General features: G+C 39.0%; 1 protein-coding gene across 26 annotated transcripts in view; it reads right to left on the bottom strand.

The window, feature by feature from the left end:
- The window catches only part of PTPRM (protein tyrosine phosphatase receptor type M), an 839,541-nt gene that overhangs the window by 496,111 nt on the left and 329,246 nt on the right, over positions 1–14,184 (bottom strand). For all 26 annotated transcript variants that reach the window (XM_011525708.3, XM_047437715.1, XM_011525712.3 and 23 more), the window contains exon 4: positions 4,163–4,241. In XM_011525708.3, the coding sequence (XP_011524010.1) occupies positions 4,163–4,241 (79 nt within the window). The remainder of the gene's footprint in view (positions 1–4,162; positions 4,242–14,184) is intronic.

Raw genomic sequence — 14,184 nt, 5'->3', positions numbered from 1 at the left:
GACTGGTCCCCTCCTGCAACCAGTCAGGCTGGTCTTGGGCTAAGTTTTCATTTTATAGGAGTATAACTTTGTAACTTCACTTCAGTCTCTGATTGGTCACTTTCTGCAACCAATCAGATGTTTGCAGAGGGTGTAACTTTGTATCTTCACTTCAGCCTCTGAATGGTCCCCTCCCACGACCAATCAGACTGACCATCGGCCACTACTTCACTTACACAGGGTGTACACCAAGTAACCAATGGGAAACCTCTAGAGGGTATTTTAAACCCCAGAAAATTCAGTCATGGGGATCTTGAGCCACTTGCTCGGGCAGCTCCCACCCTGTGGAGTGTATTTTTCATTTTCAATAAATCTCTGCTTTTGTTGCTTCATTCTTTCCTTGCTTTGTTTGTGCGTTTTGTCCAATTCTTTGTTCAAGACACCAAGAACCTGGACACCCTCCACCAGTAACAAGAGAAAATAAAGAATGACTATTAATGGGTAGTGGGTCTTTTGGGGGATGTTGAAGATATTTTAAATTTGACTATGGTCGCGGGTACATACTCTGTGAATAAACTAAAAACTACTGAATTGTACACTTTAAACATGGATAAATTATGTCAGTGATATGTCAATAAATCTATTAAAATTACATACGGCTTTTAAGACATAAAAATACATTATCAGCACCAGAAGGTAATAAGAGAAATACCCATATATGCACAGCTCATAATGTATTTAAGAACAGGAGGCAACATTAGGAAGCTATTGTAATAAAATGCTTCTTTTCTTACCAGGATTATTGAACCAAATTCCAAATATATTTTTAGTGTGCATATCAAATGCAAAAATTATCTGTTTATTAGAAGTGGTCATATGCTAGAGAGCTGCTGATTTTGCAAAGTCATCTCCATATTTCAGGCTGATCTTGCATCTTATTGTCACTAAAGTCAATTTTATGAGCAACTATATACTTGTATCAGAATATCTAATATTAAAAAATGTTGTAATGCTTACTCATAAACCTATATGAATCCAAACAAGAGCCTTTACAGTGGAGCAAATGAGATTCAGCAATTTTGCAGCCATTTGGAAAGCATAGTTTTAGATATAAAATATTAATGCTCCTTTAGGATTTAAATTTAATGAACATCAAAATTTCAAAATAATTCATTATTATGAAATCCTGATAAGAAAGCTCATAAAATATTACCTGTAAAGCTTTCATTTTAAGAACAAACTATTGCCTTCTTTAAAATCTTTATTTGCATGCTTCCCCCATTAACTTAGAGATTCAGGAAAAAATAAGCTAAGGAAGAGCTATCATCAAAACCATTTAAGGCTTCCAGTTCACAATGCTGTTGTACCATACATCACCTTGGTACAGAGCCTGTTTTGCAATTCTGTGCCCTCACAGCAGTTCCCAAAGCCAATTAGGTATTAGCACAGGTATTCTCCAAAGGAGAGAAGATAAACACCATTTCTATGGCTACAGAAAGCTCTCTCCTATGGGAAGAACAAAATTGCTTGAGACATGTTTTAGGAAGGCACTGATAAGCATGAAGTCTTTAGGTCTTTGCTGCACACAATGACTAAAATCCAGTAAAATAGAAGGCACTACACTTCAGGAGCTCTTATGCTGGCTAGTGGCCAGATGTGGAAGATGGAGCCCAGGATATGTAATAGAAAGCCATGTGCAACCTTGACTGCAGCCACCACACCTGCACCCAGTACATCTGCCTTGCCGTGAGCTCTGCTCTAAGAAACAGGGAGGCAGACTATGTCATTAGAGTGCTCAGCACTTAGTAGGCATGCAATTACAGCTCTTATGTTTTTAACCTCCTAGTAAGAAGTGAATCAGAGTCCATGAACTTTGTGCATATTAGAAGATCTCATGGCACTTTTCTAGCTGGAGGCTATTACTCTGAGGATTTGGCTGAGTTCCAGCTCAGGTAATTGCATTCTGCTTCCTAAATTTACCCTGCTGTTTCAATTAGGTACAGCCTTGATGGTTTTCCAGTCTTTTCATGAAATGGGAGGGGACAGGGAATCTTCTTGAACTCCCCAGTTTTGCTGACAACAGAAGAAAAGACAAATGTAACATGACACAAAAGTAACATCTGCCTTTGTAATGAACAAATGATTGCTTTATGTTAACTTCAATGTTTGGCAAGCTTCAAAGCACCAAATAAAGATATCAGAGAGAGCAAAACCCCTTTAGATGGAATTAAAACACCTGTGTCATGATACATTCATCAGGTAACAACCACACAGGTCTTCTCTATAAAGCTTAACAAAGAGGGTCCTGGTGGTCTATTCAAATCCATGCAATAAAAAGCTGAGCCACTCCTGCAAATATTTCCATTTTTATTATTGTAGATATAATCATTCTTTCATAATTTTGCATAGGGTCATCAGGAAAGACCCATGAAATATATGAACTAGCCAGTTTCTCTTTAATGCCAGAGATCCTAAAAATAAAGCAGGTTATCATCCCTCAGATGGCCAAAAATTTGAAGTCTGGTGATATCAATTTTGAACAAAGATACAGGGAAAATAAAGCTACCATGCACTGCTGGTGGGAATATAAACTGGTTCAGACACTTCATAGCATTTTGGCAGCACCCAATAAAACTAAGAACGTCTCTGCACTACATCCCAGCAATTCAGCCTCTAAGAACACACTCCACTGAGGCTCTCAACACTGCACCAGTAGGCACATCCATAATGCTCACTGCAGCAATATTTAATAGAGAAAAACTGTGGGAAACACTAAATGTTCATAAAATACTAGAAAAATAGAATGTAGTAAATCCATATGATAGAATACCATGGATTGACCTAAAATATCTAACACTTAAGTTAAAAAAAAAAAAAGAATACAGAGAAATTTGTATGGCTGGAAACCATTCATTAGCATTTATAAAAGGCAATCCTTACTTTTTTGCTTTTATAAACCCTTGGGGATTATGGGAAAGAGCACACACATGCGCATACACACACACACACACACATTTGCGGTGTTCAGTTGCTCAGCACTATATGTTTCTCAGTAAAAGTTGAGGCCCAGCTCCCTTGACAGAGTGGGAAAAGCCAACAACTCACTTTCCTAGTGACACCAATTGCCAGGCATGAATGAGTGCATGATCTAGCTCGCTCACCCTGACTATCCCCCTCAGGGCTTTGCACCTAAGGCCAAAGATGCCAAGGCCCAAATCAGCGCAGAATGTCTAGGCAAGGGTCATCTTCCAAGGGTAAGGTGCACAGAGACACAGCGCCAGCTCCCCTTGTCCTCGCAGCTGGCTCCCCTGCCATAGTGGTTGCTGTGGCTGCTTGCGTAGCCTCACTTTGGGGGCCTGCTCATCATCTGAGTCTAGACCACTAGTGTTCTCAGGAATACCACTGCCCTCCAATTCTCTATCAACAGGATGCCTTTTCTGCTTCAAGCAGCTACAGTCTGTTGCTGTGTGCAGACTAGAAACCATAACAGGTGCAACAACCAGCTCACCACTGTGGTGGCCCCTGGGGGGCAGGGTTTGGGGAGAAACAGATCTAGCAATTTGTACTATTTTATTTAAGGAAAAAGGTTCACATACAAATATGACAAACTGTTAGTTGTTCATAGTAGAAATTTTAAAAATTGTATGTTTATCACCTATTGTACTTTTTTAAAGTATTAATTTTTAAAAGATGAAGAGCAGGCCATTTCTGGGGTCCCCAGGTGGTTTAGGTAGGTGTCTTTTATTTGACAGATCCCAGGCCTGTTTGCAGCTATATCACCTGAAACCATGTGATAAATACTAAGGAACTGTGCCAAAAACATACTGGACTTATAAACAAAACGCACAGATTCTCAATATTTAACTTTGTGCTACTACTGAAAAGCGAATTCTAAAGACCACGGCAACAAATAAACAGGTTCTTTGCAAAGATGTCTGAGCATGCCAAAGAATTCCTTGATTCCCCATTCCTGAACCAAATTTTAAAAGACTTATACAAACCATGGCATTTACACAAAGTACATGCTTTTGGATTTCTGGGCTGGCAAACCAACAATACAGGCCTGTCAGGGAACTGTCTTGGCAAGATGACCTCTTCACAGGTTTTCATCCCTTCTCTTCATTCATAATGTAAACATGCCCCCAATGATGTACCCGAATATTTACAAATAAAGACAACTTACTACATGGATGTCCTAACACCTTCACCTCATCGATAGCGAGATAGCCTTGATGTCCAGAAGTTATCACTTCAAAAATCACCTGGAAAATTAAGAAAGATTTACATTATTTATTCATTTTGTCTTACTTTTACCAAGTATCTCCTATATATAAGACACATAATTTCGTTTATTCTTTCACCAATTCATTCATTCATGTACGTAACATCTGCTAGTCAATGTTCCAGGTTCTAGACTACAAAGATAGGCAAGACCCCACCCCAGTCTTCAGGGAGGTCAATAGGTAGTGAATGCGTTAGACAGAACCCCAACTTAGAAAACCCATAGTGAAAGGATACTTCATGGGGTTGCGGGGGATGACACATACACTGTAGGAAAAGCAAGGAAGCTCACAGGATAGTGAGTTGGCACAGACGGCAACTTGTTGGTGGGTAAGCTGCTTGGGTGGAAGATGGGGACACCAAGATAGAAGAGGCTTTGGGGTTACCTCTCCAACAGTTTCAGCAGATAGAAAGGATTCCCCACCCAAAGCCAGGGTTGAGCTTGTGAGAGATCCTGAACATGAAACAAAGTCTAAAGAAGACTTTTAAGGTTGCACTGTATGTTAAACCCACTGCCATACACACATTTGGATTGTGGTTGTTTTCCCTCAAGAGACAACGTTAAGATTCAGATTGCTTTAGGTGATCTAAACCTTTTCTGAAGGTTCTGAAAGTAACTCTCTGACCACACTGGACCATGTGGGGTAGTAAGATTTACACAAGTGAAAAAAAATACAGTAAGTGTAATGAAAGAAGAGTGCAGTGTACTATAAGAATATACACATGGAGGACCTCCCATGAGGAGGTGAAATCTGTGCCAATAGCTACAGGATGAGAAGGAGCTAACAGTGTGAAGAGGACCAGGCTCAGTCCTGGGCACATGTGAAGGCCCTGAGGTGGTCATGACCATGGCCTTCAAGGGGAGAATTGGGACCTACCGCCACAAAGGTCAGCTGTGGCCAGGCTGCAGAAGACTCCACTTCAGGACAGAGACACCAGGAAAGATAGCCTATTAATAATGCAGTGAAGAGAATATGCTAACTGAAAATCAGACAATAAAGCTATGAATCAAGAGGAAAATAATATAAAAATGTCCACAGTGGCAAAATCAAGAGGGCGTTAGCTCTTCCTTGATAATTGGAGAAGCAAGAGAAGAGGAAAAGGCCTACATGCCTGGAGGTTCTAAGAATGGCGGAGTTTTTTAAGATGGTGGAGCCACTTCAGAGAAATTAAGGCAAAAAAGAAAGAACCAGGGCTGGGCGCGGTGGCTCAGGCCTATAAACCCAGCACTTTGGGAGGCCGAGGCAGGCAGATCACCTGAGGTCGGGAGTTTGAGACTAGCTGGCCAATATGGTGAAACCCCAACTCTACTAAAAATACAAAAATTAGGTGGACGTGGTGGCATACGCCTGTAATCCCAGCTACTCAGGAGGCTGACACAGGAGAATCGCTTGAATCTGGGAGGCGGAGGTTGCAGTGAGCCGAGATTGTGCCATTGCACTCCAGCCTGGGCAACAAGAGCAAAACTCAGTCTCAACAAAATAAAAAAAAATAAAAAAAAGGAAAGAAAGAAAGAACCAGTAAAAGGGTTATCAATTTTCTTAATCTGATTAATTGACTAAAAGTGTCAGTTGTCAGGCTATCATTTAAAAGATCCACATGAATGTTATTTTGACCTCCATTTACACACAGAATGAAACTATCTCACCGGGGAACCATGACTCATGATGGTAAGTCTTAAAATACAACCTAACCATTGCACTCTTGGAGATTCATCCCACAGAAATGTAAACTTTCATTCATATAAAAATCTGTGCACATCATATTTACAGAAGCTTTATACATAATAGCCAAACAACAGAAACAGCCCAGATGTCCTTCAACTTGTAAATAATACACTGTGGTCCATCCACTGTATTAAATACTACTCAGCAATAAAAAGGAGCAAATTAATGATGTACCTAACAACTTGGGTGAACTTCCCGATAGCTATGGTGAGTGAAAAACACCACTCCCCGAAGATCATGTACTCTATGATTCCATTTATGTAACATTTTGTAATGTTAAGATTCTAGAAATGGAGGACAAATTAGTGGTTGCCAGGGGTAGGAATGGAGGAAGATGAGACAGGAGGGAGATGGGTTTGCTTACAAAAGGACATCACCACCACTCCTTGTGTTGGTGGAATTGTTTAGCATCGTCACTGTGGTGGAAGATACACAAGCCTATTCAGGTAACAAAGTTGTACACAACAAATTGTACATATTTGTACAATTGTACAGAAGGCAATTGTACTACAGTGTTGTAAAATGTTAGCATTCTGGGAAATGGCATAACATGTACTCAAGAATATCTTTTTTCTTACTACTGCATGTGACTCTACAATGATTTCCATAAAAATTTCAATTTATAAAAGTAATTATAAGTTAACATTTAGTAAGCAGATATGTTACACACACTAGGAAGATATCATTCCATTATCTCATTAGTTCATACGAAAAATCAAGAATTTCATGTTTCAAAAAAAATGAAATCTTTAGATACAAAGTAATTGTCCATAAATGCAACGAGTCTATCGTAGATGCAATCTTTAAACTCAATTTTTCTGATTCCAAATATGATGTTTTCACTTCTACACATTGCTCAAACAAAAACTTTGATCCTAGGCCTGCATTATTTTGTGTATGGGATGGATGTGAAACTGGAGAAAGCAATCAGCAGAGCCCAGAGTGGAAAAGCTCAAGAGTACAGGGACAGAAGACATCCCAGAAACTCTTGCTAGACTAGATGACACTGTGCCACAACACTATTACAATAACATATAACACAGCGGAGAGGAAAGGCACAACAGAAAACCAGAAATGAAATAAAACTTCATCCTGTTCGTAAGTTTAATAAATAGTTTCCACTGACAATACAAGAGAAAGGAAGATATGCACGGATATTCCTGCAATGGGACCCTGCTAATTTATCTGTCTACTACTAAAGTCTATAAGAAGACAACTGAGAGTACAAAAGGAAAATGAATATTGAGAGCAAGTAAAGGAAAAAGCATTCCTGAGGCCCTCAAAACAGGTCCCCTCAATAACAGTCACATCCTGCCTCCCAGGAAACAGCTACAGTTGGCACTGCAGGAACCTGCAAGCTGCTCTGATACAATGGCTACTGCAGGGACAGCTGAGGGGTGGCTGCTGATGCTACCACTACCAGCTACCCAAGAGCATGGGTGCTGTGGTTAGAAAAATGTGTTTTGAAAACCAAACGCAGAAATGTTCATCAGACCTTCCTTCATCCCACCTGCCATCCTCTCTTCCTTCTTCTCTCTTATTCATCCATGCATTCATTCATTCAATGAACTCAAGGCTCTACTGAGTGCCACCTCTCTGCCAGGCACTGTGATAAGCACTTGGAATATATCATGGATAGAACAGCTGAAGAAATCTTTCCTCATCAAAACTATCTTTCATATTGAAATTTTATTTTGCTTTATCAACTACAATGTCTGAAGCTTCTACTAAAAATGGAATTATCCTTATTCTTTGAAGAGAATGCATTACCTTTTAGAACATAGTGTACATGTGAGACGTGCTCGTGTGAATCTACTTTTAAGTTGATCTGTATGTGTAAATTTAATCCATAATGTTTTGTTTAAAGCTATACAGGGTCATACCCTTACCAAAGCAAAGGAGAGTACAAAAAAAAAAAAAAAAAGGCAGAGAAGATCTGAGACCTGGAAGAGCCATCTAGACTTCTCTAGATCTGTTTTTTCATCCATCGCGTCACAGAATGGATGACTCAGAAGTTTTACGCTAAGAAATTCTGAGCCTTTTAGTCCAAATATTTATAAAATATCTACCGCATGCTTTGGAAGATCTAAGCAATGCAGACAGTTTTATAAAAAGTAAGCTTTAGTTAGGGAAAAAACAAGAAACATGAATGATGAAAGAATAGAACAAGATAGCAATGGCCAAATGACAGATTCAATAAACACAGCTCATAGCAATGGGATCCTTTCCTGACGCAGAACCATGACTCCTCCCCTCCAAACAAGCCAGGGAACCTGTGCCACAGCCACACAACCCCCAGCACAGAGCTTCAGCCTGCTAGTATCAACTCATGGATTTCCCAGCAACTATCTGCCTTCATCCCTGTGGACTAGAGGCAAAGAGAGTCTCAGAAACAAGCCAATTCGCCCCATATTTCCCAGCAAGATGACTTGTCAGCAAGGCCACAAAAAAGAATTAGAGACAAGCTTCTATCTGCAATTTTATTTGCTCCCCTCAGTCTTCCAACTAGAATATCAAGAGGCAAAGAAGGACAGCAGCTGATTACAAATATGTTTCCTGCCCCCTCTGAGTTTAATTAGAAACTTTAAAAAGTAAACTTCTCAAACTTGACAGGTTCCAACACTGACTTAAAGCTAATTGCAGAGTCAAGATAGGAGAAAAGCAATCTTTGTTGATACGTTTATGTGTGCATGCCTACCCATACATACATACAAAATTAATACATAATATATAAACAAAAGTTTCTTATGTCATACATTTGTGTCACAAGTTTGAAGCAACAACTTCTATGTTTATTAAAACCATTTTCTAGTTCTTTCTTAGAAACTTGTTAAGGGACTTGAGTACAAGTTTTATTAGCTGCTTCATCAAGTTTACAACTTAGTATGCAACTGTTTCAATACATACCACAATTATAAAGTAGGTATGAGCTGTACTGGAGAGTTTCCTATTGTGAAATAAATACGACTAAATGAAGTTATCTGAATTTAGATGCCATACAGTAGTCTGAGATTACCTATTTTAAACACCCAACCATTGAGAGATTTCCCTTTGTTTTTTTTCTAACAAACAAGAGGATTAAAACATGCAGCTCAGGCCAGGCACAGTGGTTCATGCCTGTAATCCCAGCACTTTGGGAGGCCAAGGTGAGTGGATCACAAGGTCAAGGGATCGAGCCCATCCTGGCCAACATGGTGAAACCCGTCTCTACTAAAAATACAAAAATTAGCCGGGCGTGTTGGCGGGCGCCTGTAGTCCCAGCTACTCGGGAGCCTGAGGCAAGAGAATCACTTGAACTCGGGAGGCAGAGGTTGCAGTGAGCCAAGATTGTGCCACTGCACTGCAGCCTGGCGACAGAGTAAGACTCCGTTATCAAAAAAGAAAAAAAAAACATGCAGCTCAAAGGATGAGGGTCATCTTAAACAAGTTTCTTATAAACAGATTTTGGAATTCTGTTCAAGGTTCCACTGTTGTGAACTCTGGCTATCTGGCAAATTTTCCATTATGTACACCTCTCTAGCCAGTGCCCTTATAAGGCTTCAAAAGCAAAAATAATCTTTTTTCTCTTTTTGTCAAATAAGGAACTACTCTAATGAAAAGTACAGGTATTGCTCTAGTGAAGTATACCAAGTGTGTGCAGAACCCAGTGGGAATCATAGGAATGTTTGAAAATGCCAGCATCCGGGTCGAAAAAGATTGAGGTCAGAGGAAAGAGTAACATGAGAATACCAACAGTACCATTGGAAAAGGAAAAAAGAAACGTGTAAGAAATTGATCTGGGGATGTGCCATGTTCATTTTTATGAAACGGAACAAAATATATTGAAAATATTCTATATTAGAAGGTTTGAATTTCTTATGGAGCCATGTACCAAGTTTTTCTTCAAAAAGAATAATTTAGTAATTCAAAAAAAACTATTTATTTGTATACTTCCATGTCCCAGGTATCCTTTGCATATATTATCTAATTTTCCCCCATCAATTATGTGAGGTAGGTCATATTAGCTCCCTTTCAGGGATAAGATGACTTAGAAAGGTTAAGTAATTTTTCTGAGTTCACACAAGTAGTTACAGATTTGGGTCTAATCCTAGATCTATTTTGCTTCCAAGTCTGGACTCTTTTCATGTTGCCAAACTGCCTAACTAGCAAGTATGAGACACTATATGTATATAGAATACCTTTACATACATATATATACACACACACACACACACCTTTTAATGTATAGATACACAGGTTCTAAAATTTTTACATCCAGATTTATAAGAAATATAGCAATTGGGAAGACTGATACGGCATAGTTTTGACAGCATCAAGTTTAATACAAGAGTTGGCAAACTACAGCCCACGGCCAAATCTGTCCCACCACCTGTTTTTATATCGCTCACAAGCTAAAGATGGTTTTTATAGTTTTCACTGGTGGGAGAAAACAGAAAGAAGAATATTTTGTGATACAAGAGAATTATATGAAATTCAGATTTCAATGTCCATGAATAAAGTTTTATTGGAACAAAGCCACGTTTATTCATTTACATCTTGGCTATGGCTGCTTTCATACAACAGCAGCAGAGTTGAGTAGCTGCCACAGACAGCGTTTGGACTGTAAAGCCTGAAATATTTACTATCTAGCCTCCTGTTTTTAGAGAAAACTTTCCTGCTTGGCTCACCAATGCACCATCAATACTCTGATTAACAAGAAAGCACATGTCAAAAGCAATACTTTATCACAGCCAAATACAATATGCCTTGCGCTCCATGGGGGAGCCTCACATTCTAGCAATGAGAAGAAGACCCTGTCCCTGGCTTGACTTGTTTTCAATTATATCACATGTGTGGTTTTCTAAATACCCACTTAAGTTTGTAATATCATTATCAAATTTTTAAAATACATATTTGCAATATACCAAAACAAAGCCAGAAAAATTAATTACTTCATAGGCCTCAAAATATCAGAAAAATTAAAAATAAAATAAAATAAAACCTAACTCATTTAGAAGTCAAAAATCTTCTATAAAGACACTGTAAACTACTGAGAATTAGTAACACTTTAATATTAAAACCTACCCTAAGATCTCATTTTATACCATCTTCTTTGGTGTTAGCTAAATTTGGACTAAATGGTTTTTGTTTGTTGTTTTTACTGAAACAAACATTTTTAGGAAAAATGTTTTTGCCCTTTAGCCCAATCTAAATTGTGATTATTTTAAAAGTTGTGGGTCTGACAGAATCACAGAGTCACCTTATCTTATTATGAAATAATTTTGTCACAACACAGAACTTAGTTTTTTTGACTTGGCTTGACAGAAAATACAGTCAATCCTCATTATTCAAGGCTCATATTTGTGAATTTGCTACTCCCTAAAATTTATTTGTAACCCCCAAAAATCAATACTTGCAAAGCTTTCATGGTATCTGCGGACATGCACAGAGCAGCAAAAAATGTGAGTTGCTCAACACACATGTTCCTAGCTGAAGTCAGGCAGGGCAATGTTCTGTCGCCTTGTTTCAGCTCTGATACTATAAAAGAGTATCCTTATCGTGGTCTAGTTAGTGCCATGCTTTTCCATTTTTGTGCTTCTTTTTGGTAACGTTGCTTTTTAAAATGAACCCAAATATAGTGCTTCAGGGCTGTCTAGTGCTCCTGAGAGTGCAAGGACGCTAAGATGAGCCTTAAGGAAAAAATACACATGTTAGAAGCGCTCCAGTCAGCATGAGTTACAGTGGTACTGGCCTTTGCCATAGGTTCAAAGTTAATGAATCAACAACATAAATTACATACGGCATCCGGTATTGATCAGTAGACAAAAACATTACAAAAACATTGTGACCAAAGGCTCACAGGAACCTAACCCCATATTTCCTATAGAAGTAGTTCAGTATTCACTAATTCAGTGTTCTCTGTAATTTTACAGAACATAACTGCTGCAAATAATCGAGAATCAACTCTATTCATGTGATGTGGTTCACTCTGAGTCTCCATTTCACTGTTTTGCTGATAACGCCCAGATATTTGCAGCCCTGGGATGTAAGAAAATGTAGAATAGAGAGAATCAATATTCATTCAATCTCAACTAATAGCATTTCAGGAGACAAGATGTTGTATCCCTATAGCCTTTGGAGACTGTGGGAAAAGCCATTTGCTTTCAGAGAGGAAACAACTGGTTAAACCAGTTGTTTAAACTGACTATTGCTCTCATTTGCTCATGAAAATCCATCCTGGATACTGGCCTCTGAGAGGTTTGACATCAGGCTATCCTTCAGATGTCTGCCAAACAGGAGAAATGCAGAAGCAGTTTAACACCACAGCCTCCCTGATCCTCCCCGCTTCAGTGAAGAGCAAAATTAGCTTTCCATGCTGCCACTTTTCCTTGCTATGTGTAAGCAAAGAAAGGGATTTGCTTACCAACACAGATACTCACCAAGGAAAATGTGCTGGTGGAAGTCATTAGTCAGTTCCCTAGAACAAAGGGGATTAAACGTTGGTTCTCCCACACATTACCTAGTCTATCCTTCTGGTTTTGATTTAAATAAAATGCAAAGGTGGGTCACACCCATTTACAAAAACTTTATCTTGTTTGTGTCAAATGAGTTACATAAAAATAAAACATATACAGTAAAGTTTCTTTAATATTAAAGAGTCCAGGCAAAACCACAAAACATGTCACATTAAGAATCAGGAGCAAAATATTCAAGCATTTGTGTTTGTATTGACATGTTATCAGAAAATAAAATAAAAATCTACTTTGAGAAAGCTAAAGGCACTCAAAAGACAGCAAAATTTGCAATGGAGCTAATTATTAGTGCTTGCAATGTTATTTTTAAATGTCTTCACCTGTTTTTCCTACCAATAACACAACCTTCCTCACTTTTCTCTTTGTTTCCTCCTTCCCTTTAGAGAAAAGTATGATATAATCATAGGTCATATACTCATTCAAGAGGCCGTGCACAGAAATTAAGGTAGAGGACAAAAACATGGCTTAGAAGTCATAAAGAACAGGGTTGATATGCATATAGCGGCAGACCACGCAGAGATTAAGATGGTAAACAATAGAAGTACTTATCCTTTATCATCACATAAGAAGTACAAGTTAAGAATGAAATTTAGAGATGTGGCAAGTTTTAAAAAATAATCAAAAATAAGATCTTTGAGGGTGAAAACAATCACGCAAATTGTTCTACTTCCTAAATACAGTTCTAAGTCAATATTAAACTGACAACCTACTGTGTCCCCAGTGGCTTCTTGAGACATATTGTCTTTTTTAAGCACAAAATGCAGAGTATTGCGGCACCTACTAGACTAGCTTTCCTGCTTGAGAGAGAGTGATATTTCACTGCCACAGCAAATTCCCCACATCCTCTAGAGGCATGAAGCAATTCAATTGTCTTGCACTTGGAATAAGGGCCATAGCCAAGGAATTTATGGAGTCAAAGTATGTTCTATTTTTCAACTGGCACATATCAGTATTCCCAAGTGTACTTCAGGGAACACTAGACTCAAGAAATACTCAGCAAAGCCCAAATTCTGGCTCCAGCTGGGCACCCACACTCACCATGTGTCCTTCCCGGAGATTCAAAAACACTCCTAGCCTCCGAAATGGCCTGCAGAACGAAGCAGTTCTACTTTGTTTAACCCAGTGCTTCTTTCCATTTGGTCAATTAATGCCTCCTAACATTCCCTGGATTTGTGGAACACAATCTAGAAAAGACTCACCAATTCAACTCTAAAACACTGTCTCTAGGCAGCAAATGTATGCGGGCCTGCTGTCACTTAGCTGTGGCTTTACATGGCTTTGTAGTAAAATCAGTGGGCTGAAGGCAAATACAGCAAAGAAACAGGCACCGAGCTAGCTGTGCAGGGGAATAAAGTTTGCAGCAAAATGTGAAAAGATAGGTAAGATCAAGTCATCCCTATTCCCTCAACTCCTCTTTTACCAGGAAAGATGTCAGACTGATAAGGGTGAATCTTGGTTTAGTGCCCCTCTCCCCAGTACAAGTTCCTTTGAGTCCTTGCTGCACAAAGAACTCCAAGCAGGGCGCAAGCTGAATCCACACCTAATCTTCTCCCAGGACCCTTCAGTATATCTAAGGCATTTGTTTTAACAAGGAGGCTCTCGTGAACCCACAAGGCTCTCATATTTGATAACTTTATCCTCCCATTCCCTATAGTCCATGCCCACCCTCCCCAGCCCCACTTCTT

The sequence above is a fragment of the Homo sapiens genome, chromosome 18, assembly GCF_000001405.40.
Source record: "Homo sapiens chromosome 18, GRCh38.p14 Primary Assembly".
NCBI lineage: Eukaryota > Metazoa > Chordata > Mammalia > Primates > Hominidae > Homo > Homo sapiens.
This window is presented reverse-complemented; position numbering and strand designations above follow the sequence as displayed.